Here is a 26,557-nt window from a genome sequence, read left to right as displayed (position 1 = left end):
CCTGATCAACATGGAGAAACCCTGTCTCTACTCAAAATACAAAATTAGCCAGGTGTGGTTGCACAAGCCTGTAATCCCAGCTACTGGGGAGGGTGAGGCAAGAGAATCACTTGAACCTGGGAGGTGGAGGTTGCAGTGAACCAAGATCATTCCATTGCACTCTAGCCTGGGAAACAAGAGCAAAACTATCTCAAAAACAAACAAACAAAAATTAATAGTAACTATTAACTACTAATACACCAAATACAGTATTTTATGAATAACTCGATGCTTTGTTGCATTCTTATACTCTAAACTAAGAAAATTGAAATAAGATATGAGAAGAGTGCTTTTATTTTCAACCTAACTCTTCTAAGCTGGTATACAAGAGGGGTGCACCCATTTCCCCACAATTCTTATGGACTCAACTTACGGTGTAACCAAAGAGGGTAGATTTTACACCACAGATCCTACTCCTCCACGCCTGGAGTTCTCATGGGAGCCTTCAGTGTCAGACTTTTGCCATTACTGTTCTCACTTTTCCTGCCTAGCAGTGTTCTAGAATCCTGTATGATTCTTATTCTCTTGGAGTTTTGGGACATCAGAAATTCATGATCCTTCTTTTAAGAGCTGCATGGATTTGGAGTCTTATCCTCACTAGAAGAGAGGAATGCACCCAATGGAAAAGAGGAGAGCAACCAAAGTCTAAGCTAAGAGCATAGTTTCATGTGAGTGGGTGTGGTGTATGTGTGTGTATGGGTATGGTGTGTATGGGCCCTACAATTCTAGCATTATACACTAAATAGTCATTTGTGTGTATCACAGGCAATCAAATTATGGTTCATTAAAAAAATCTCCTCTGTGAAACCTAATTTGAAATTAGCAACTGCTAGGTTATAAAAGTAATTGTTCAAATTCTTTTGTGGTGCAGGTGGTGGGGTTGATCACTTTGAATACCCATGGCAGTTCATTTTCTGAGAATATAGACATAATCTTTCCCTCTAGTTCAGGAAGGGGGAAGAGCTTTGGCTGTGTTTGACAAGTTATAAACATGTTATCATATTTCATAACATGGAAGTAATAAAGAGTTATATAATTACATAAGCAGGATGCCAAATATTGAATTTTTGAAAATAGGGCAAATGCGACATGAAACATAAAATCATAAATTTGTAAACATGCAATTCACACAAAATTTTAAAATAAAATATAGAAAAATCCCTGCTCACAATGATACATTTTCTTACACATTTATTTTCCTTTTTTGTAATCACTAACAGCTGAACCTTGTTCATATGCTTCTGCATCTTTTATTTACACATAACTAAAAAAAGTGCTATCATTTAATCTCAGAATTTTTATGTTACAATGACCTAAAACCATCCCATGAATTCTATAAACTCTTTAACACTTTCTCTCTTCCATGACTCTCTTTCAGAAAGTATTTCCTCTGGCATTCATAGTTTTTGTGGACACACCTGATACCTGAAAAAAACAATCTGAGTGAGTTTAACTCATTAATTACTCAGAGTCCTCTCTATTCCCAAAGTATTCCGTCTCCCAAGCAAGACCTTATGTAGCTGTACTGTTTCTCTCCTTCCTCTCAATACCTACTCTTTTGCCTCTTCCAATATGCAATCTGTTCAACATGTTTGATATATGTCCTTGTGTGTCTATATGTGAAAATGCACGTGTTCAAGTTTTTTTTTTTTGGATTTTATAAACTGAATCAATGTTTTCTGTCTTGTTTAATGCTGTTTTTAAAAACGTATCTCTTTACAAAAAATGTTTACTACATTTATCAATGTTACTCTATTACCTTAAAATTTATTTTTTTCTAACTGCATCACGCATTTCACAGTATGCATTAACTATAATTCTTTTACATATCCTCTTAGGAAAATCTAGGCTGTAACCAGCTCCCCGTTACCCTCAATGATATCATGGTGAATATCTTAGTGCATGATGCTTCATGAATTTATGTGAAAGCTTCTCTGGGTTTACTCAGGTAGGCTAGGAAATTAGACAAAAACATACTTAATTTTTGTCAGAAAGTCTAGATTGTTTTTGTTCTAAAGAGCCCCTTTTCCTATTACAATGTTCTTTTTTTAAGCAATCTTTGGAACTTTGAAAAATTGTTTTAAAGCTTTTTGCATGTGTGTTTCTCAAATTATGTTTATGCTTAAATATGGAAGACATTGATTAAATAGTGGGTATATAATGTGGAGAAATTAAATTTTGGAGAAAGATCACAGTTTAAAACAGGTCTATGTTTTACAGAAGTGCAATTGCAGCTTGGAGTGAGTATTACCAGCTCCCCTGAGCATGCATAAGCCATGGGCATGCATAAGCCACCTTTCAAAGAGGTTGCAAGTGCAGAAGATTCCATTGAAGTCTGGATGTTTCATAATACACAAATAACTATTTTATCCAAACTTTTTCATGTGCTGGTCTTATATTAACTCCTGCCCCAGATGTGGCATTTTTTATTTCTCAGCTTGGTAATTCTCTTCTTTATTATTTAAGACATAGCATTTTATACTTTTAAAAATGAGAAGGCATCTAGCTTTAAGTGCAACACTTATTTACAATCGGAATACGCACCATGAATCATTTATGCATTTTCTTACTGCTGTACCTCTTCCTGTTCCAAAACTGCTTTGACAAAATTATGAGGTATGTTAGATGGCTTCAGTCATCTTTAATTCTACTATTCTGACTACTTCTCTATTATTCTTGTTATCACTTTTACTTCCTGTCTTTATCCCTAAGAGTGGCTGCTTCCTGATAACTTGTTGCCCATGCTGAGTATCTCCAGTGCTGAACACCAGTTTTGCCAGCAACCTCGTATCTCCTGAAGGGTCTCTTTCAGAGACTATGTCCTTGACTACAAAATCGCTTTCACTTCAATACTGTCTTTATTCCTCCCACTAAGAAAATAAGATACAGATAGCAACATATTTGGGGTTCAACTTGTGACTGAGCCAAACTTATACATTTTGAAATTGGTTTAAAAAGAAAGTTCAGAAAGTAAATATGTTTCATGTGATAAGAAATAATTGCCATAAAATATTTCAAATAAAATGATATGTAAATGGGATCAACTGCAGTTTTCTTCACAATGTCAGAATAGTAAGACACTTGTGTATATTAATTTTTGAGTGTCTAATGTGAGTGGGGTTGAGAATTGTGACAAAGATTTTGCAGTCTTGGTGAGGTCCCAAAGGCAGCAAAATATAGAGTCATATGTTGTGTTTGAAATAGAATTCTTGTAGTGGGAGCCTGATCTCGTATAGAATGGTCCCCCATTGAGCTGCAGGTGGGCCACCATCACTGCAGTTGGCCAAAGGATGACAAGCAGAGCTCTAAGATTATCTGCTTCAAGTTCTTCTTACACATACTCATGTTAAAACTCACTTACATGTCTTTTCTACTATGACTTGGAAAGCAAAATATATGTTCTGTCTTACCTTGAATTGATCTGTATATTGTACATTGATTACATAAGAGCAGCAACCATTCTTCGATTGTCCAAATTATTCAATTTAAAGTGATTGGTAGGTAGTCAGTGAGTGTTGACATATAGCGATTAGATATATAGATTAATTACATCAGATCCATTTGCATCGTCAGAGGGGTGATCTGTTTTTATTTTTAGTAACATGCTTTTGAGCAAAAAAATGGTGTATTAAGTAGAAGAATGATCAAATAGAAAAAATGCACTGTTTAAGTGAGATACAATACAATACTTACTCTTTATATATTGTCAGTCTGGGCTTCTCCCCAGTAGGAATAGTGGGCATCTGAAAATAGGGCAAAGGAAAAAGACCAACTGGTATAAATAACAGAGCAGGTGCATATCTGGACTAAATATTTAGACATCTGGGAAATTATATATGGAGACACCATTGCAGATGGTGGTGGTTGGCTTATTCAAGGCCAAAGTTAAACATCTGTCTCCACACCTAAACTCACTTTAGTTACCATTCTTGCAGTGTGCTCAACTCACTCTATTTTATCCAGTTTCTACCCACTGTTAGGAAAATTTTCGAAAATATTGGCCCAAAGTGATTTCTACTTCCTCCCAATTCTTGGAGGACTTGCTATAGGTGCCCCTTCCCCTTCCCCTTCTTCCCCTTCCCCTTCTTCCCCTTCCCCTTCCCCTTCTTCTTCCCCTTCTTCCCCTTCCCCTTCCCCTTCTTCTTCCCCTTCTTCCCCTTCCCCTTCTTCTTCCCCCTTCCCCTTCTTCCCCTTCCCCTTCTTCCCCTTCCCCTTCTTCCCCTTCCCCTTCCCTTTCCCTTTCCCCTTCCCTTTCCCTTTCCCCTTCCCTTTCCCTTTCCCCTTCGCTTTTCCCTTCCCCTTCCCCTTCCCCTTCCCCTTCCCCTTCCCCTTCCCCTTCCCTCCCCTTCCCTCCCCTTCCCTTCCCTTCCGAGATGAAGTCTCACCCTGCTGGAGTGCAATCGTGCAATTCAGCTCACTGCAACCTCTGCCTCCCAGGAGGTTGTTCAAGCAATTCTGCTGCATCATCCTCCTGAGTAGCTAGGACTACAGGCACCGGCCACCATGCCCAGCTAATTTTTGTATTTTTAGTAGAGACAGGGTTCACCAAGTTGCCCAGGCTGGTCTCAAACTCCTGACCTCAGGTGATCCACCCGCCTCAGCCTCCCAAATTGCTGGGATTATAGGCATGAGCCACTGCACCCGACCTATATATGTTTTTTGAAAATATTAGGCTTAGCCCATGCTGGCTTATTATTTATATTTTCATGAATTTATGTTAGACTTCCAAATAACTAATTTCTTGAAGAGTGCTTTTTGCCACTTTGTTTACCTAGAGCTTATCCAGGGACTGGTTGATAATAGGAACCACAATAAAATATTAGATCCAGAAATTATTTGGCGGGGGGGAGGGAGGACAAATCTTCTACTTTAAAAATTATAGAACTGTAAGCCAGGTAGGTAAAATGGGTTGCCTAAAGTCAGATATAATAAGTAAATTTTTATGGCATAGTTTAGAAAACACAGTGTTCCCCAGAAAGTGATTTAAAATAACTTGTGTAGTCTTAGGTATGAAATGGGATGAAATGTAGTTCAATAAATCCATCCATAGAATGAACAGGAGATATTAGGATTTATTGTCAGCACGACATTTGGAGTTGCCATACTTATTTTTCCAACAGTCCATCTCTTCTGTCTATTATATTTCATTTTGGAAGCTGCTCATTAAGACAGTTTAGCTGTCCATGGTGGCAAACATTGCTGAACTGAGCAACACCCTTTCTGCAATACCTCAACACAATACCGTTGTTTTTACGTGTCTGTGGACAATATTTTAAGAACCTGTCACTGGAGTTTATTTTTTCCCTTTACAGCTTATACCAGCTGCTGACCTCGGTTTGATTAGTTGTGCTAAATGTGCTAGATCCCACAGCTGCTCCCTTACTCTTTGATTTCATGGTTATTTCACTGACTTGAAATCATGTTGCCATGGGGACTCATCCAGTCTCTTGGCCTCTAGAGAGACCACTTCAGCCCTCTCCAATCTAACTGTGCATTAAAGTTTCTGTCAATGTAAGTTTATTATTTAAAAACTGCTCTGTTATTGGGGACGAGTCTATCATTAAGGCTGTTTGTGAAGGCAGCAAAAATGACAACAAAATCTAGAATTTCAAATATTTCTCCAGTATAGTTACATCAAGAAAAACCATCATACTGCTAAAGGTAGTTCTATTTGGTGGATAATATAAGATATATTTTAAATTTGGGCCATGACTAAGATAGGAAATATGTAACTTTCTGGATCATCATTCCTGCATTCATTTTTTCCCCCAACTATTGAGTGAGATTATTTCTAAATTTGTCTCTGATGATCCACAGGGGATTTCTGGAAGACTTTAAGAAGATCTGGCTCAATAATCTAAGATTATAAATCAAGTTTTCAGTTTTGCTAGTATTGCTCAGATTTTATGTTCCTTCTCTCAGATTGTTTTTCCTCTCCATCTAAGACTAAATAAAGTGTCTCATTTCTTAGCATCCATTCTAGGTAGTAGAAACCTTATATCTAATTCTGTCTTCACATTTGGGCAGCCACTATCCAGATGAATATTTCTGTGATACTGCACATATAGCTTTTTAGATCACTGTGCTAGACTATGACTTTGGTGGTCCCCAGTGAATCACATCTCCCGATATACATGTCCCTGGGTTGTGCCCTTCCACATTGACTCTAGGCTTGACCAATAAGACATTTGCAAGCATGATGCAAACAACACTTGATAAATGCTTACACATTGAATATTTTTGCTTTGGAATTCTCCTTTTTGGAAGCTCACTGCCATGTTTTGAAGAAGCCAAGCTAGCCCTTTTGACTCCCAGAACCCTGTCAAGAAGACCATTTGAATCATATATAGTTAGGAATAAATATATGTGTCATAAAAATATAAAGACAAGATGATTATCAAAAATACATAGTAATGGTTAAATTTTGTGATTTTGTAGTATATGAGGAGAGTTATCAGACGGTCAAAAGGAGATGTCAATCATATTGGTAACATTATTAAACTGCGTGTCTTCAAATTATTATCATCCTTTGAAACATACATCTATTTATCTCATGGATTTTTGCTTGCATGCTACATTTCACAAAAAAAAATATATTCAAAGACCTACTGTCACATACTAACATAGTAAATTAGTGTTAGAAACAGACCTAACACAGGCATACCTCAGAGATATTGTGGGTTCAGTTCCAGACCACTGTAATAAAGTGAATATTGTAATAAAGTTGCAAATTTATTGTAAAGTGAATATTGCAATAATTATTGAAAAAATAATATTGCAATAAAATAAACTTGTATATGCACTGGGTTTATATAACCCTATACATATAAAAGTTATGATTACACTCCACTGTGGTTATTAAGTGTGTAATAGCATTATGTCTCAAAAACAATGTACATACCTTAATTTAAAATGTTTTATTGATTCAAAATGCGAATAATCATCTAAACCTTCAGTGAGTCATCGTTTTTTTGCTGATAGAGTCTTGCCTTAATGTTGGTGGCTGCTTACTGATTAGGTGGTGGAGGCTGAAGGTTAGGGTAGCTGTGGCAATTTCCTAGACAACAATAAGATTTGCCACATTGATTGACTTTTGTTTTTATGAAATATTTCTCTGTAGCATGCAGCGCTGTTTGATGACCTTTTACCCACAGTAGAACTTCTTTCAAAATTGGAGTCAGTTCTCTTAAACTCTGCCACCGCTTTATCAACTAAGCTTGTGTAATGTTCTAAATTCTTTGCTATAATTTCAACAATGTTCCTGGCATCTTTACCCAGAGTAGATTTCATCTCAGTAAAGCACTTTATTTGCTCATACACAAGAAGAAACTCCTCATCATGAGACTGGAACAATTCAAGTCCACCTTCAGGCTCTACTTCTAATTCTAATTATCTTGCTGTTTCCATCATATCTGTAGGTACTTTCTCCATGAAAGTCTTAAAGCCCTTAATTTCACCTATTAGTGTTGGAATCAACTTCTTCCAGACTCTTGCTAATGTGGCTATTTTGACCTGCTTCCATAAATTGCAAATATTCTTTTTTTTTTTTTTTTTTGAGAAGGAGTCTCAATCTGTTGCCAAGGCTGGAGTGCAGTGGCACAATCTTGGCTCACTGCAACCTCCCCCTCCCCGGTTCAAGTGATTCTCCTGCCTCAGCCTCCTGAGTAGCTGGGACTACAGGCACGTGCCACCACACCCGGCTAATTTTGTATTTTTAGTAGAGGTGGGGTTTCACCATGTTGGCCAGGCTGGTCTTGAACTCCTTGCTTCAGGTGATCCGCACACCTCGGCCTCCCAAAGTGCTGGGATTACAGGCGTGAGCCACTGCACCTGGCCACAAATGTTCTTAATGTCATCTAGGATGGTGAATACTTTACAGAAAGTTTGCAACTTATTTGTTTATATCTGCCAAAGGAATGGGTAGTTATACCCTTAAAAAAATGGTAGTCATAGCCATAAGAAATGTATTTCTTACATGATAAGACTTGAAAGTCAAAATTACTTCTTGCTCATGGGCTACAGAATTGAGGTTGTATTAGTAGGCATAAAAACAACATCAATCTCCTTGTACCTCTTCATTAGAGCTGTTGTATGTTCAGATGTCTTGTCAATGAGCAGTAATATTTTGAAAGGAATTTTTTTTTCTAAGTAGTAGGTATCAATAGTAGGCTTAAAATATTCAGTTAACCGTGCTGTAACCAGATGTGCCGTCATTTAGGCTTTGCTGGTTCATTTATAGAACACGGGTAGGATGGATTAGCATAATTCTTAAGGGCCCTAGGATTTTTTAGAATGGTAAATGAGCATTGGTTTCAACTTAAAGTCACTTGCTAAAATAGCTCATAACAAGATTTAGCCTATCCTTTGAGGCTTTGGCGCCAGGGATGACTTACCTCTTAGCTATGACTGTCCCAAGTGGCATCTTCTTTCAATGTAAAGCTTTCATTCACATTGAAAATCTGTTGTTTAGCCACCTTTGTCAGTTGTTTTAGCTGGATCTTCTGGATAACATGCTGCAGCTTCTATATCACCATTTGCTACTTCACCTTACTCTTTTATTTTATGGAGCTGACTTCTTTTCTTAACCTCACAATACAACCTCTGCTACCTTCAAACTTTTCTTCTGCTGCTTCGTCACCTCTATCAGTCTTCACAGAATTGAGGAGAGTGAGGGCCTTACTCTGGATTAGGCTTTGTTTTAAGGGAATGTTGTGTCTAGTTTGATCTTTAATCATGACCACTAACTTTCTCCGTATCAGAAATAAAACTGTTTCATTTTCTTATTATTCATGTATTCATTGGAGTAGCAGTTTTAAGTTTCTTCAAGAATGTTTTCTATGCATTTGCAACTTGGATGTTTGGTGGAAGAAGCCTGGCTTCCAGCCTGTCTCTCCTTGGGGTGTGCCTTTTCCACTAACCTTAACCATTTCTAGCTTTAGATTTAAAGTGAGAGTCTTGTGAGTCTTTCTGTCACTTGAACACTTAGGGGCCATGTAGAGTTATTAACTGGCCTGATTTTAATATTATTACATTTTAGAGAATATGGGTCCCCAAGGAGAGGGAGAGAGATAGAGGAATGCAACAGTTACTGATTCAGTTCACCATCTTATATGAGTGCAGTTTGCGGCCCATGTAATTATAATGGTTTTGTGGCCTAGAACAATTATAATAGTAATGACAAAGATCACCGATCACAGATTAGTGTAACAAGTAATGAAAAAGTTTGAAATATTGCAATAATGTGACTCAGGGACTCAAAACGAGCACATACTATTGGAAAAATGATGCTGATAGACTTGCTGTTCACAGTGTTGCCATAAACCTTCAATTTTAGAAAGTGCATTATTTGTAACACAATAAAGCAAATGACAATAAAATGAGATACGTTTGTATAACTAAATTTTGCTTAAGCTTATTGCAGTTTCCTTAGATTTTTCCCCCACACATAATCTCTCTTTTTTCTCAGGTAAAGTAATGATGAAGGTTTTATTCTTGTTATTACTTATATAAAATTGTATATATTTGTATAGATTGATTAGATAAATTGCTCAAGATGAAAAGTTATTAATGAAGGAGATGGGACCAAATCCTGATATTTTTACAGAAGTCAGAAATGTTCTTTCATGATACCAGCTTTATTCTTACATTTTTCTGACCCTGACATTTGTAATACTTTCAGTAGGTCATCTTTCTGATTGTAAGAAGTATAATTCTAATTTTTTATTAAACATTACAAGTGTGGTAAGATATTTTTATGATAACAAAATTAAGTGTAAACCCAATAAGAAATATTACATTTCCCTTAGTCATCACTAAGGAACTCTCAATTGGTTTGATCCTTTACTAGAAGGACTTTTTAACGTGGAATGTGTTTTCAAAGATGGATGAACTCTTACCGTTTCATCAGTGAGTAGAAGTTATGTATCTCATTTACTGAAGAAAGATGCCTTTAAAAACATTTTGTTGTCTGCAACAAAGACTTATTAATCGAATAATGCTCTTAACCTTACTGCTTTCTAAGAGCTTTAGAAACATTTTGAAACTACAAAGTGCATTTACTAATATTAAAACCTTGGAATGTCTTGAGCTGCAGCCTATTGTGGAAAATATGGCTTCTCAGTCTTCAGTCACTTCATTCAATTTTCCACTCATATTTTTTTCCTGAATCAGACCAACTCTGTGGCATGTAAAGGAGTGTAGTGATTATATGAGTTATTGTAGATACTGTTGACATTTTATCTGTTTTGCTGCCTGGAGTTGGCTAATGCCAGCAACAGATCATGCATTCTTGATTAAAAAATGGTGGAAAAATGCATTAACACCAAGAATGGTATTGTCGCTGTCACTGATTAAGCATAGCACTTCAGTTCAAAATGTTAAGGTTATTTTTTCCCTGGGTTTTATTTTCTAAATGAATGTTTATAGCCATCTGTGTTGTTTCTAACAGAATGAGAAAAAGTACATTTCCCTTAATTTATTTTGTCTTTTCCTTTTCTTCAACCACATTCTTCTTAAATATCACTTTCTATAATTATGTATTTTCACAGTACTCCAAAAATCATTCACACCCCTCTTTCCTGAAAGTCTGTGGTCTCTGCACCACTCAAATTTGCTTTGATCCCATCCAAACTGATATTTCCTTGGAATATGTTTTGATAGTAAAGATAAAAGGAAAGGGTAAAACTGAAAAGCATTTTAAGGGAAAATTATTTTGGATAAGTTGATGAAGGATTTTAGAAAATGAAAATAAGAGGGAATTGAAGGTGATTTCACAATGCAACCTGTATGATGGACTAGTAGAGATGCCAGTTATAATCCCTGGGAAATTGAAATGAGATTAATCTGTAGATGTAAGACAACACTTTAATTTCAAAGTAGACTAAATTTAAGGATTTGTTGGATTATATATGTGAGATTTCTAATTACAAAGATAGGCAAGAATGAAAAATAATAATTTCAGATGCAGCTTGCAGATATAAAAGCAGGTATATAATAAAAATAGCATTATTGTTTATATCATTAAATAAATCATTTTGGAGTAATCAATATCCAGCCTGGAATAAATAGTTTAAATTAGTATTAATATTAAACTTTTGAGAAAATATAATCTATTTAAAGTAACCTGTGCAATGTTAACCAAAAATATAAAATATATGATATATAATTAAATATATGTATGTGTGTGTATGTGTGTGTGTTTGTATACACACTTTACTGGACATTTATAGACTTCATAGACATTACTGGACATTTATGTTACAATACTAAATAGCTTTCCTGATATACCATTGGGGAACATCTGCTTATTCTGTGTAAAAACTTCTCTTTTGGGAAATTGATCTATCATTTGTTCACTTTGGTTTATAATCTTCTTCCATCATGAAAATGAACTGTAAGACATTGATCACCATCAATTTTTATTATCTATTAAGATAGGTTAGGTCAATATGAATTGATTGATGGAAAATTAAAATAACTAATGGCTACTAGGCTTAATACCTGGGTGATGAAATAATCTATACAACAAAACCTCATGACACAAATTTACCTATGTAACAAACCTGCATGTGTAGCCCTGAACTTAGTTAAAAAAAAAAAAAAACAGCAGTCTATCTCTACTTTGAGATAAATGAAAGCACCTTTGTTTGCTGCTGCATCTGTTGTATAATGTTTTCTCTGTGTATTTCTAAAAATGTGTATGTAAACTGTATTATGTATTTCCATTATAAAAAGAAAAATACTAGTTATTTTATAAAATAATTTATATGATAATTACATTGAAAACTGTACAATTTTTTAATGACTATAATGATCTCATCTATCAACTCTATACATGTCTGTAATTTTTACCTAAATCATCAAACTACCTGTTTCAGTGCTATGCCTGAAGAGTATACCTTTTAATTCCATTGCAAAAGTAATAATGAGTGAAAAGAGCTGTGACTGAAGAGAAAGAAAGATTTATTTACCCTCTGATTTGAAATACAGTATTAGAATTTGGTTACTGGCACTTAAAATTTAGGTTATTGTTATTTAAATGTAATTAATTGCCATCCTCTTAATACAAGTGTTATCAGAGCTATCTGGAATCTGTCTGCAATTGCTAATGAGAATTTAAGATTCATGAGGCAGAAGCATTTGGAAACATAGTATGTAGGTAATAATTTTTTAAAAGTTAAGGAAAAACAACTTTTCTTCAATGATTACAACATTTATTTTTTTCTACTGAAAGGCTTAGGGAAGAAATCAGGATTTTACATTTATTCTTCCTTCTTGCTCCCAGATATCAAATGACAGGTTGATAGAATAAATTAATAAATATAGAAGAGTGTTTCTCTTCTTCACTTATACTATATAAGTGAATTTAGATGATTCTATGAAGTATTTTAAAATACAGCCTTATGATAATCGATAACTAGAGCTGTGCAGTCTCTAATGAATTCTGTCTGTTTGCTCTTTTTTTCACTAAGCAGTGAGGACTGACAAGCTGCCGGTTCTGGCTCAATGCTTTTTGTCAGTTTGTTCTCTTTGGAGATAAATTATTAAAGGATGTAATGAACAACACAAAGTTAGCACTTTAAGAAAAAGAGGGCATTTCTCCATTTTAAAATGTTTTGTAAGATAGAAGATGACAAGACCACATTTAGTTTGGACATGATGATTCCCATCTTATCACATTTGAAATGATGACATATCACAAACTGTACAACACAAATATTAGGAATTTCTGATTTCTTTAGATGAGATCAGAAGTATTATTTATTGAGTGCATTGTTATTCATCTCCAAACTCAAAGATAATTGCTATGTGCTAACTGGTACATAGTAATAGTGACTTATTGAATTGTTTCAATCAACCTGATTAAAATCTTACAAATCTTCAATAATCTGATATTAGTAGAAGCAAACATTTTATGCCTAAATCAATACAACTTAGTGAATAAATGTTGGCACACTTGGACGTTTGGTGTAATTTTTAAAGATGGTTTGTAGTTTCAATTAATTTTGACTGGCTTCTGAGCCAAAATGGGTACTCTTTGAACTTGTTAGCACTCTCACAATCCTTTAAAGTAAAAATGATATCAAACAACAGCACGTTATGACTTTTTCCAGTAGCAAAATTCAACCATTTTCTATACACCAATAAGGACTTCATATCTAATAAAGTCACCTGCTTAAGTAATTTTACTTAATTTACTTTGAGAGTGAGTATACCCTCTTATTCTAGAATTGCATGGAAGAATTAAAATAGAAATGCTCAAAAGGGAAGTAACCCACAATCAAATAGCTAAGTTCCACATACGGTGCAAATGGCTTCCCTCAAGTTATTTCCAGAGGAGGAGGACATTATACTAGCAGAGGCTGTAGAGTTGAAAAGGAGACAAAAATTTATTAATACACAAAAGAGAGCTGGGCCAATTGCCAGTGCTAAAAAGATAAGAAACAGGAATCAAAATCAAACTTAGAATGTGCATTTGAGAACAGGTATAATAACAAGAGCAACAGGTGGAGTTTAAGCTGGCAGCAGTTAGTGGCAGTCCACAGAGCTGATGCTGATTTTCTAAGGCTTCCTCTACTACATGGGTCTTGTTGTTGTGGGGATGCACCAGCTTAGTGTAACTTCTCAGGATGGGAAATGCATGTCCAGAGTTAAGTTTGCTTATGTTGAGCGTTGGAAACAATATTAGCTTTTCAGTGTGCTTAACAGATTCACCTTATTCCAAAACCAGGGGTGGTACTAGTCACAGTGAATGAATTGTCTTAAAGAAACGGGTCTCTTTTTACCTTGCCTGAGGTTCTGAACTGTTGTGCATACAATGAGCCCATTTTAGGGACATTTTTTGAGACCACCTGACCTTTCAGTTGGTATGCTCTGACATATAAACAGAGGAAACCCTCAAATCAATAAAATAATAGTTCACAATAGTGTTTTAATTGAATACTGATATTTTACAAAGATAATTTAAAATTTTAAATAATGTATAATTTCTTTTTTTAAAAAATGAAATAAATGAAAAGTTAGGAAAGTTTGGGGAGAAACACTTCATGCCAGAAGTATCTGATGACTCAGTCCCCAGTTTTCATCTTGTTCCCAGTTGTTTTCATCTCAACAGAAACATAGTTTTCATCTTGTTCCCAGTTGTTTTCATCTCAACAGTAAACATCCTCTTCTGTATTAAATATTACTTTTGCTCTGCTTGACCTGTAGACTATGCTCATTTAGGTGAAATCCTTCTGTAAAAAAATCGCTATAGTAAGGTAGAAACTCATTTTTTACATAGGAAACTATATTCGGTTATTCTTCAAACACCCATGTTTGATGTGCCATTTGAGCTGTTAGATAATTACCACTTCAGTCAGTATCAGCTCCTACCTCTTGAGGGATGCAGCTGCCCTTCTGTAGGTCCTTCCCGTGTGGTATTAGTTAATCTGACAACGGGCTTTATTGAAATCTCTACTCAATTTGTCATGTTCTCCTTCTATTGCTCTGACAATGGATGGCTATCTAATATCTTGTCTGTGTCTTCCTAGCCTCTTGTCTACATGGAGGCTGGATTTAGCTCTTGATCAATTGAGGGAGGTCTATGCTAATGTGTTCATACATTCCCAAGTGCACGTTCCCAGGCTTTGAAAATAATTCCCAATAGGAAATTGTATTTTGCCAAAATTCTGCCCATTGATTGTCTGGACCTCAATATTATACACTTTCCTCCAGCATGGCAACAATTTTGAGCTCATTATGTTCTGCAGCATGCCTTGTGTGTCATGATTAAATATATTAAATATAACAGTTGACAAATACTTCAACAGAATGAGGATCATTTTATCATAATGCAGAATATCACCAAATGTGACCTAAATTAAATTATTTCACTGCCCTTATTCCTTTACTGAAAGACATAGATGCTACTAATTTTGTTAACCACAGAAATAAAAAAAAAAGTCTTGAAAAAAATGAATGACACAGAGAAGAATAAATAATATTCGGGTTAAAATAATGCTTTATAAAAAGATAATTTAATCAGCACAGAGAAATATATGCACAACAATTAAGCTGATAATATTCTGCCATCATTCCTGGCAAGTAATTGTAAATAAAGTGAATCCACAAAAATGTTGAATAAAAACTAATGATTGACTCTGGTCAAAGCAGCAGCATATAAATATTTGGAAGAAAATGTGAAAGTATTTCCCTTGCACTAGTTTCATAAGGTTGCAAAAAATGATTGTTGGTACTTTATAATCATGTGTCAGATCTCAAATGTCAGGGTGATAATTGCTAAAGACTGCAACTATTATTATAATCAGCATGCATTTTTTAGGACCTCATGCCTATGACAGAGGCTTTTTATGTGTTGTTTATTCCGGCTCAAGCCTAGAACTAAAGCTAATACAGGCTTCACTTATTTGTGTCTTCATTAACTTTAGAATAAAAGTTGTTTGGTGACATTTATATTATTATTTTTTTTTTTTTTTTGAGGCGGAGTCTGGTTCTGCCGTGCAGGCTGGAGTGCAGTGGCGCGATCTCGGCTCACTGCAAGCTCTGCCTCCGGGGTTCACAGCCATTCTCCTGCCTCAGCCTCCCGAGTTGCTGGGACTACAAGCACCCGCCACCATGTCCTGCTAATTTTTTTGTATTTTTAGTAGAGACGGGGTTTCACCGTGTTAGCCAGGATGGTCTCGATCTCCCGACCTCGTGATCCGCCCGCCTTGGACTTCCAAAGTGCTGGGATTACAGGCGTGAGCCACCACGCCCGGCCGACATTTATATTATTAAGTTAAAATTAGACTACCAAGCATGACTATCTATCTATAGAATATATGAATGTAAATATTGAATTTTATAATGGTAATAGTTTTAGAACCGATAACTTAATAACTGTTATGTATTGCTTTTATTTGAGAGTCAAATTATTAAGAGTATAAACATTCATGAAATATATATGTATTTGAAAACAGGGTTTAAATTTATTCCTGTGAATCTTTGAGGTCATACCTTGATTTAACTCCCCAAATATTTGTTAGGCATTTTTATATCAGTGTTTGTGCTTTATTATAAAGGCAGTGCTATGTAAAAACTTTACAAATACACATTTACCTTCTTATTTCCTAAATTAGAATAAAAATATTACACCCAAATTGCTTTATGTTGTCTATGAAAGTCACGTTTGCCAGATTATTTATAAATTCTTAATGGGCTGTATTGCTGTGCTTCTGTTCCCAGGTCTTGGGAAAAAAGGATCTTAAAGTATTAATCTGAGAACACTGGAGTTCTACATATACTATATTTTCTTAAATGTTTAGCACTGCAAGGCAAAACTTTATGTCTTGTCTCCTTAGTAGAGTATTTCTGACATCTTGTAGTTCGGACTGTGATGTCCATAATTTATGAAAAAAAATCTGTATGTAGAGGGCTTCCTCACTCCAGCACAACCAAAAGAAGGATCACTTTAGCTAAGCAAATAAGAATCTCTTTCCAAGGTTTCGATCTATTTAGGTATAGTTTTGTAAAGTGGTTATCAGTGTAGAGAAATGTGGCAGGATGTACCAACAAGGAGGTGTAGTAGATGAGATTGCTCGTGGGTTGAAAACATGTGGGTTTAAATCATAGCTCAATTAATTTCTACTTATGAAATATTATGAAAATGAGCTCTTTCAGCCATCATTGTTCTCACCTGTGACATGATGTTAATATGAAGACATTTACAAGTAATCTGAGTATTGTAACTATAGATATATAGGAAATGATGGTATTCTTATAGTTTTATTGACATATTGCTAGGGTCTGAATGTTTGTGTTTCCCCTAAATTCATATGATGAAATCTTAACCCCCAGGGTGATGGTATTAATAGGTGGGTGTTTGGCAAGTGATTAGGTCACGAGGCTCATGAGTGGGATTAGTGCTCTTATAGAAGAAGTTTAAGGGAGCTCATTCTTCCCTTCCACCATGTGAGGATACAGTGAGAGGGAGCTATCTGTGCACCAGAAAGCAGCCCGCCACAGACACCAACTCTGCCAGTGCCTTGGTACTGGACTTCCCAGCTTAGAATTGTTAAAAATAAAAAGTTTATAAGGTAAAATGAAATAAGGAAAATAAGATATTTATAAGTTACCTGGTTTGTGATATTTTATTATACCTGTCTAAATGAATTAAGACACATATAATGTTTTAAAAGCATATAATTAAAATGGTGAAAAAATGTATAAAAAGTGAAGCTAGATTTTGGAAGATGAGTGATGAAAGGGATGATAAAATAAATGGAAAATACTGAAAACATTAAAAATATTATCATCTGTGAATACAAAGAAACAAAGTAGAAGACAAAAATAACAAAAAGAAAAGAATGTAGATCAGAGGGAAGGTAACAAAAGAAAAATAGAAAGAATAAATAAGACCCACTACCTGATAGCACAATGAGGTGACCATGGTCCATAATAACTTATTTGTATATTTTTAAATACCGAGTGTAATTGGATTTTTCTGTAACTCAAAGATAAATGCTTGAGGGAGTGGATGCCCCGTTCTCCGTGATGTGCTTATTTCACATTGTATGACTGTAGCAAAACTTCTCATGTACCTCATAAATATATACCCCTACTATATACCCACAAAAATTAAAAATTAAAAAAAAGAAATAGAAGGAAATGGAAGAGAAGAGAGAAAGAAATAGAACTGAGGAGAGAACAGAAGGAAAAAGTAAGAAAATGAAATGTTCAATTGCTTAGACTCCCCTCTACAAAAATCCTCCAGTCTCACCTAGAACTGACATACACTCTCTTTACTGATGGCTCCCCACTGAAAGTTGATCCAGAATATGGCATCTTAACTTCTTGGATACTTGCATTTATTAGGTTTTTATGTTCTATTCATCTTACACTATTATTTTAATAGGCAAAGAAGGAGAGCATTGGCCGGGCGCAATGGCTCATGCCTGTAATCCCAGCACTTTGGGAGGCCGAGGTGGGCAGATCACAAGGTCAGGAGCTCAAGATGAGCCTGGCCAATATGGTGGAAGCTTGTCTCTACTAAAAATACAAAAATTAGCTGGGCATGGTGGCGCATGCCTGCACTCCCAGCTAGCTACTTAGGAGGCTGAGGCAGGAGAATCGCTTGAACCTGGGAGATGGAGGTTGAAGTGAGCTGAGATCATGCCACTGCACTCCAGCCTGGGGGACAGAGCAGGACTCTGTATCAAACAACAACAGCAAAAACAAAAACAAAACAAAAAAAGAGCATTGCGTCATATTCAGTTTGAAGCCTTATCACTAATTTCATTCCAATTGGTTGCTCAAGGCTATTTCAAGATTAAACATAAATAAACAAATGAAAATATGGTTGGAAATAGTTTTCACCAATTTATAGAGTTATAATTGATATATAATTGCATATACTTAATGTTTCCTATTTGTTGAGATTTGATATATGATTATAACTGCAAAATCATCATTATGGTCAAAATAAGGCCTTAGCCCAAAAGCGTACTTGTGTAATCTTTCCCTTTACCTATATTTCCAGGAAACCACTGAACTGCTTTCTTTTAATATGTATACAATTTTGTTTTATAGAATTTTATCTAAACAAATTAATACAGGATATACTCAGTTTAATCTGGCTTCTTGCACCCAACATAATTTTGAGACTGATAAGTACTGCTGCGTGTGGTAATAGTTCTTTTTTTTTTTTTTTCTGCTTAACAGGATTGTGTTGTATGGATATAGCACAAATTGTTTATCCATTATTCATTGCTTTTTATCATTTAGCAAGGCTCTATTTGTTATTACAAAAATGACTATAAACATTTTCATAAAGATCTTTATGTGGATGTTTTCATTTAACTAAAATAACACACCTAGGAGTTGAATTGTTGGGTCTTATGGTAAATGTGCATGTAAGGTTTGTAAGAAACTGATTTTCAAAATAGTTGTATGATTTTACATTTTCACCAGCAGTATAGGAGGCTTCCAGTTGCCCACATACTTGTCACCACTACGTATTGCCAGCATTTTAAACTTTAACCATTCTAATGGTTCTAATGGATATGAAGGGGCCTCACACTGTAATTTTAATGTTTATTTACCTTAATATGCAGAACACTGTAATGGATTTATTGGCAATGCAAATGTCTTATGTGTCATGTCAATTTAGATCTTTTTGCCCATTTATATCGAGCTATTTAAATCCTCATTACTGAGTTGTAAGAGTTATTTATATTTCTATAAATTTGTTTCCTTTCTGTGGTTTTCCTTTTCATTTCTTGAATTTTAATTTTCATGCAGTCCAATTTATCTATTTTTAAAAATTTTATAGTTTTCACATCTTTGTTCTAGTTAATAATTGTTTCCATATATGAATGTGGTAACAATTTTCATCTCTGTATTTCATAGTTTTATATTCTTAGGTTTTACATTTAGGTGTATTATTTATTTCAGGTGTGAGTATGAGTGTGCGTGTGTGTGTGTGTGTTGAAAGTTAATGTTTGATGATTACTTTCCATAAGAATATACAGTTGATGCTATACAATTAAAAAATTACATTCATGTCCTGAAACATATTCATGCTTTTGTTGAAACTCAAATAGCCCATGAATGTGAATTCTGTATTATATTTTATTGGTCTGTGTTTACATGTTTGGTCTTAGTTGTTTAGTCTTGAGACCCTGAATTTCAGTCTTTTGAAGTTTAGGAACTCTTGCCATTTCTACCAAAAATCCTGCTGAAATTTGATTTAGATTGATTTTTGAATCTATAGATCAACTTATGGAGAATTGGCATTTAAAAATATTGATTCTTCCAAAAAAATAAAATACCTAAGAATAAAGCTAACCAGGGAGGCAAAAGATCTGTACAATGAGAACTATAAAACACTGCTGAAAGAAATCTGAGATGACACAAACGAATGGAAAAATATTCGATAAAGAAAAATAATCAATATTGTTAAAATGGCCTTATTGCTCAAAGCAATTTATAGATTCAATGTTATTACTATCAGATTACCAATGACATTTTTCACATAAATAGAAAAAAACTATTTTAAAATTTATATTGAAACAAAAAACAGCCCTAATAGCAAAGGCAATCTTAAGCAAAAAGAACAAAACTGGAGGCATCACCGTACCCAACTTCAAACTATACTACAGGGCTATAGTCAACTAAAACAGCATGGGACTAGTACAAAAACAGGCACATAGATCAATGGAACAGAATAGAAAGCCCAGAAATAAGGCCACACAGCTACAACCATCTGATCTTCGACAAAGCTGATAAAAACAGGCAATGGGGAAAGGACTCCCTATTCAATAAATGGTGCTGGGGTAACTGGCTAGCCATATGCAGAAGATTGAAACTCGACCCCTTCCTTATGCTATATACAAAAATCAACCCAAGATGGATTAAAGACTTAAACATAAAACCCAAAGCTATGAAAACTCCGGTAAAGAACTTAGGCAATATCATTCCGGACATAGAGAAGGGCAAAGATTTCATGAGGAAGACGCCAAAAACAATTGCAACGAAAGCAAAACTTGACAAATTGGATCTAATCAAACAACATAATTTCTGCACAGCAAATGAAACTATCGGCAGAGTGAAGAGACAGCCTACAGAGTGGGAGAAAACTTTTGCAAACTATGCATCTGACAAAGGTCTAATATCCAGCATCTATAAGGAATTTAGGAAAATTTACAAGAAAAAAACCCAACCTCATTAAAAAGTGGGCAAAGGACATAAACAGACACTTCTCAAAAGAAGACATTTATTTGGCCAACAAGCATATGATAAGATGCTCAACATCACTGATCATTAGAGAAACGCAAATCAAAACCATAATGAGATCTAACACCAGTCAGGTGGCTATTTTAAAAAATGATAGATGCTGGTGAGGTTGCAGAGAAATGGGAACACTATTCACTGTTGGTAGAAGGGTAAATTAGTTCAACCATTGTGTAAAGCAGTGTGGTGATTCCTCAGAGACCTAAAAACAGAACTCACATTTGATCTAGTAATCCTATTACTGGGTATATACCCAATGGAATATAAACTGTTCTATCATAAAGATACATGCGCATATATGTTCATAGCAGCACTATCCACAATAGCAAAGACATGGAATCAACCTAAATGTCGAACAATGGTGTACTGGATAAAGAAACTGTACAGATACACCATGGGATACTATGCAGTCATAAAAAAAAAAATAGACATCATGTCCTTTACAGGAAAATGGACGAGGCTTGGGGTCATCATCCTTAGCAAACTAACCCAGGAACAGGAAACCAAATACCGCATGTTCTCACTTATAAGTGGGAGCTAAATGATGAGAACACATGGATGTATAGAAGGGAACAACACACACTGGGGCCTTTCATAGGGTGGAGGGTGGGAAGAGGGATAGGATCAGGAAAAATAACCAGTTGCTTAATATCCAGATGATGAAATAATCTGTACAACAATTCCCCCATGACAGGTGACAGATGTTTACTTATGTAACAAATCTGTCCATGTATCCCTGAACATAAAGTTAAAAAAATCAATTTTTCTGATATCTAAACATTGTATATTTCTTTGTTTAGATCTTGTTCCATTTATCCTAGTATTGATTTATAAATTTCAACGCAGAGGTCTTAGATATGTTTCTGTATTTTTTACAGCAATCCTGTAAGTGGTCATTTTTAATATTTAAATTGTCTGCTGCTGGTATATAAGAACAATTGTTTTTATTGATCATTTCTATATCCTTGCTAAATTTATATATTACCTTTTGAACTAATTTCCATATTTCTGGAATTTTCTATGTAAAAATATATTAACAAAGTTTCATTTGACAATTTATGGATTTTATAGATTTTATTTTAATTTCTTACTTGATTATAATAGCTAGAACAACCAGTAAAATTCTGAGTGGGAAGTGTGAAAGCTAGCATAATTTTCTAGATATCAGAGGAAAACAACTTTGTTTTTTTTATCATTGTACATTATATTAGCTATTGAATTTTTATAATGTTCATTATCAGTTGAGTATGTTTCTTACTATTGTTAGTGTATTCAGCATTTAAAAATCATGAGTGGGTGTTGAATTATATTTTTCTGCATTTTTTAATATTGTAAATGTATTGATTGATTTTGAACATTAAATTATCTGGCATTCTTGAGGATAAACTACTGTCATGACAGCATAAGGAACTTCACTGGCTCACTTTCCAGTGAATCATAAGGCTCTGGACCCTAAAGGCAAATGGCAATGGAGAAACACAAGGAAATCTGTGAAAATTCAGTAAGAAAAGTAAGGGAATAGCAAATAGGATAGCTGAAGGGGACCGTTATGGAGTCAGAACAAATATCAAACACAGACATCAGAAACTGTTTCTTCAAAGTAGCCAAAATTGAATTGGGTTCGATTGTGGAGCAATTTATGCCCCAGTTCATTGGTGAGACTATTAGAACAAGGAGGAAGCAATTAATGGAGTTTAGCAGCCATGTCTAGTCAGGAATAGAGATAAGAGATCTGCACTAATGTCTTCCCAGAGCGCCTGTGAGTATCTCTAAAGAGATGCCTACTTGTGTGTTAACATTACTGGTTTAACACTGTATAGGTGTGGGGGGATGTACTTCACAGAAATGATATGCCTAGTCCAGTCATTAGGAAATAAACAACAAAACCAAGTCCTGGAACAAAGAATATCAGTACCCAGAGTTGCTAGAAAGTATACTGAAATGTCAGGTTTCCAACAAAGGATTTCGAGGCATGCAAATAAACAGGAAAGTATGGAGTTTACACTGGAAAAAATATTGCAGGCTACACAACTGCCTGTGAGAGCAACCAGATGCCAGATTTGAAAGAAACAGACTTCAAAATAGCCATTATAAATATGTTCACAGAACTGAAGGTAAGTATGGTCAGAGAAGAGAAGGAAGGGATGATGACAATGTTGCATTGAGGAGCTAATATCAATACAGAGATAGAAATTATGAAACAAACCCACAAGTATTATAGTAATTTCACATTCATGAGAAGGGCTTGAACGTAGACTTAGAATGGGTGATGAAAGATAAGCAAATTTGAGAATAGATTGAAAGAGATTATAAAGCTGAATAACAGAGAGAAAAAAGAATGAAGAAAATAAACGTTGCCTCAAAGGCATGAGGGGTATTATGAATTTCGTGTATATTTTTATCTTTTTCTTTGCTTTTTCTTTCTTTCCGTCCTCTTTTCTTTCCTTTTATATTGCCCTCTTGCCTTACTCCCTTCCCTTTTCTTTCCTTCCTCTCTCTCTTCCTCCCTTTCTTCCTATCTTATTCTTATTGTATAATGTGTTATTAGATTTTGGATTAGCCATGAACTACCTTCATAAAACAATTTGGTAAATGATTTTTCTCCAGAAAAACAAACTTATACATATATACATGCAGTAATGTTGTCACCTCTCCCTTGGATGTCAGATTTACCTTTCCTAGTTGATTTCCTAGAGATTTCCTAGTTGGAGTGTTTTGTTGAATTTATTTTGATGTTTTTAGATATAGAAATGGACATTCTATATCTTCTTGGATCAATTTAATTAGTTGTATTTTTCAAGAAATTTCTCCAGCTGATTCCCATTGAATTTGTAGAATACGTATGATAGAACAATTCTTTTTTAAATTTTTAAAAATTAAAATTTTAAAAAATTAAAAAAAAATAATAAACTTTTATTTTAGATCTGTGGGTACATGTGCTGGTTTTTTACATGAATATATTGTGTGATGGTGATGTTTGGGGTATGCTTGATCCCACCACCCAGGTAGTGAGTATAGTACCTAATAGGTAGTTTCCCCCTTTGCCCTTTCTGGTAGTCCCCAGTATCTAGTGCAATCATCTTTATGTCCATGAGTACCAAATGTTTAGCTCCCACTTATAAGTAAGAATTCGTGATATTTGTTTTTCTGTTTCTGTATTAATTCGCTTAGAATAATGGCCTCCAGCTTCATCTATATTGATGCAAAGGACAAGTTTTTTTTTTATGGCCATGTAGTATTCCATGGTATATATGCACCACACTTTCTTTATCTAATCTACCATTGATGGGCACCTACGTTGATTCCATTTCTTTGCTACTGTGAAGAGTACACGTGTCTTTTTGGTAGAATGATTTATTTTCTTCTGGATATATACCCAGTAATGGGATTGCTGGGTTGAATGGTAGTTCTAAGTTCTTTGAGAATTATCCCAACTGCTTTCCACCATGGCTGAAATAATTTATATTCCCAACTACAGTGTATAAGCATTCCCTTTTCTCTAAAGCCTTCATCTTCTCTGTTTTTTGACTTTTAAATACTAGCCATTCTAATGGGTGTGAGATGGTATCTTTTTGAGGTTTTGATTTGCATTTCTCTGATGGTTAGTGATGTTGAGCTTTTTTTTTCCTATGTTCGTTGCCACTTGTGTGTCTTCTTTTGAGAAGATTCTATTCATATGTTTTTCCCAGTTTTTAATGAAGTTATGTGCTTTTTACTTGTTGAATTAAGTTCCTTATAGATTTTGCATATTAGACCTTTGTCAGATGCGTAGTTTGCAGATACTTTCTCCTATCCTGCAGATTGTCTTTTTACTCTCTCTTTAGTTTCTTTTGTTGTGCAGAAGCTCTTTAGTTTCACCAGGTCCCACTTGTCAATTTTGTTACCATTGCAGTTGCTTTTGAGGACTTAGTCGTAAATGTATTCCCAAGGTCAATGTCCAGAATGGTGTTGTCTAAGTTTTCTTTTAGGAATCGTATAGCTTCAGGTGTTACATTTAAATCTTTAATCCATTTTAAGTTAACTTTTGTATATGGGAAAAGGTAGGAGTCTAGCTTGATGATTGTGCATATGGCTAGCCAGCTATCCCGGCACTGTTTATTGAATAGGGAGTGCTTTCCCTATTGCTTATTTTTGTTGACTTTGACAAAAATCAAATAGCTGTATGTGTGTGGCTATATTTATGTTATATTGGTCTATGTATCTGTTTTTGTACCAGTACCATGCTATTTTGGTTACTGTAGCCTCATAGTATGGTTTGAAGTCAGGTAATGTTATGCCTCTGGCTTTGCTCTCTTTGTTTAGGATTACATTGGTTATCCAAGCTATTTTTTGGTTCCACATGAATCATAAAATACTTTTTTCTAATTCTGTGAAAAATGACATTGGCATTTGATAAGAATAGTGTTGAATCTGTAGATTGCTTTGGGTAGCATGATCTTTTTAATGATATTGATTCTTCCAGTCCGTCAGCATGGAATGTTTGTCTATTTATTTGTATCATCTATAATTTTTTTTCTGAAGTGTTTTGTAGTTCTTGTAGAGCTCTTTAACCTCCTCAGTTACAATTATTCCTAGGTAGTTTATTTTGCGTGTGTTGCTATTGTAAATGGAATTGTGTCCTGGATTTGGCTTTCAACTTGAATGCTATTCGAGTCTAGAAACGCTACTGGTTTTTGTATACGATTTTGTATCCTGAAATTTACCAAAGTTGTTTATCAATTCTAGGAGCCTTTTGGCAGAGTGTTTACAATGTTCTAGGTATAGATTCATATTGTCAGTGAAGAGAGATAGTTTGACTTCTTTTTCTATTTGGACGACTTCTAGCTCTGGCTAGAAATTTCAATAATATGTTGAATAGGAGTGTTGGGAGTGGACATTTTTGTCTTGTTGCCATTCTCAAAAAAAATGGTTTGAGCTTTTGTCAGTTCAGTACGATGTTGGCTCTGGATGTGTCATGGATGGCTATTTTTATTTTTAGGTATATTTCTTCGATGCCTAGTCTGTTCACAGTTTGTATGATAAAGGGATGCTGGATTTTATCAAAAGCTTTTTCTTCATCTATTGAGATGATCATATAGTTTTTACTTTTGATTCTGTTTATGTATTGAATTACACTTATTGATTTGCATATGTTGAACCATCTTTGCATCCCATGAGTAAAGCCTACTTGATTGTGGTGTATTGACTTTTTGATGTACTGCTGGATACGATTTGCTAGTAGTTTGTTGAGAATTTTTGTCTCTATATTTATCAGAGATATTGGCCTGAAGTTTTCTTTTTTGGTTGTGTCTTTCCCAGGTTTTAGTATTAGGGTGATCCTGACTTTTTAGGATGAATTAGGGAGGAGTTCCTTCTCCTTGATTTTTTGAAATAGTTTCAGTAGAATTGTTACCAGCTCTTCTCTATAAATCTGGCAGAATTTGGCTTTGAAAAAAATCTGGTCCAGAGCTTTTTTTTGGTGGGTAGATTGGTTTTGCTGATTCAGTTTTGGAACCCATTTTTGGTCTGCTCAGGGTTTCCATTTCTTCATTCTCTGGGGATAAGCTGTAAAGGCTAATGATACCAAAGCAGGAAGGGAACTGATGAGTTTTGATATTAAAATGCAACTTTGAGTTTATTTAGAGATAAAATTAGTTTAATCTCCCCATATTCTAAATTGTAGATGAGTTTTGCAATCAATTTTTTGTTACTGGATTTTGAATGTAAACATAGAATTGCCACAATATTCTAGGAAAATTTAAATTGACGT

General features: G+C 34.8%; 1 long non-coding RNA gene across 1 annotated transcript in view; it reads left to right on the top strand.

Moving 5' to 3' along the window:
• The first annotated feature begins 606 nt into the window (after positions 1-606).
• Positions 607-26,557, top strand: part of LINC02220 (long intergenic non-protein coding RNA 2220) — a 155,415-nt gene continuing 129,464 nt past the window's right edge. The window contains exons 1-2 of the long non-coding RNA NR_147005.1: positions 607-707; positions 1,418-1,482. This is a non-coding gene — a long non-coding RNA (long intergenic non-protein coding RNA 2220). The remainder of the gene's footprint in view (positions 708-1,417; positions 1,483-26,557) is intronic.

Source organism: Homo sapiens, chromosome 5, assembly GCF_000001405.40.
Source record: "Homo sapiens chromosome 5, GRCh38.p14 Primary Assembly".
NCBI lineage: Eukaryota > Metazoa > Chordata > Mammalia > Primates > Hominidae > Homo > Homo sapiens.
The sequence above is the reverse complement of the archived record's forward strand: the minus strand, read 5'-3'. Positions and strand labels throughout refer to the sequence as shown.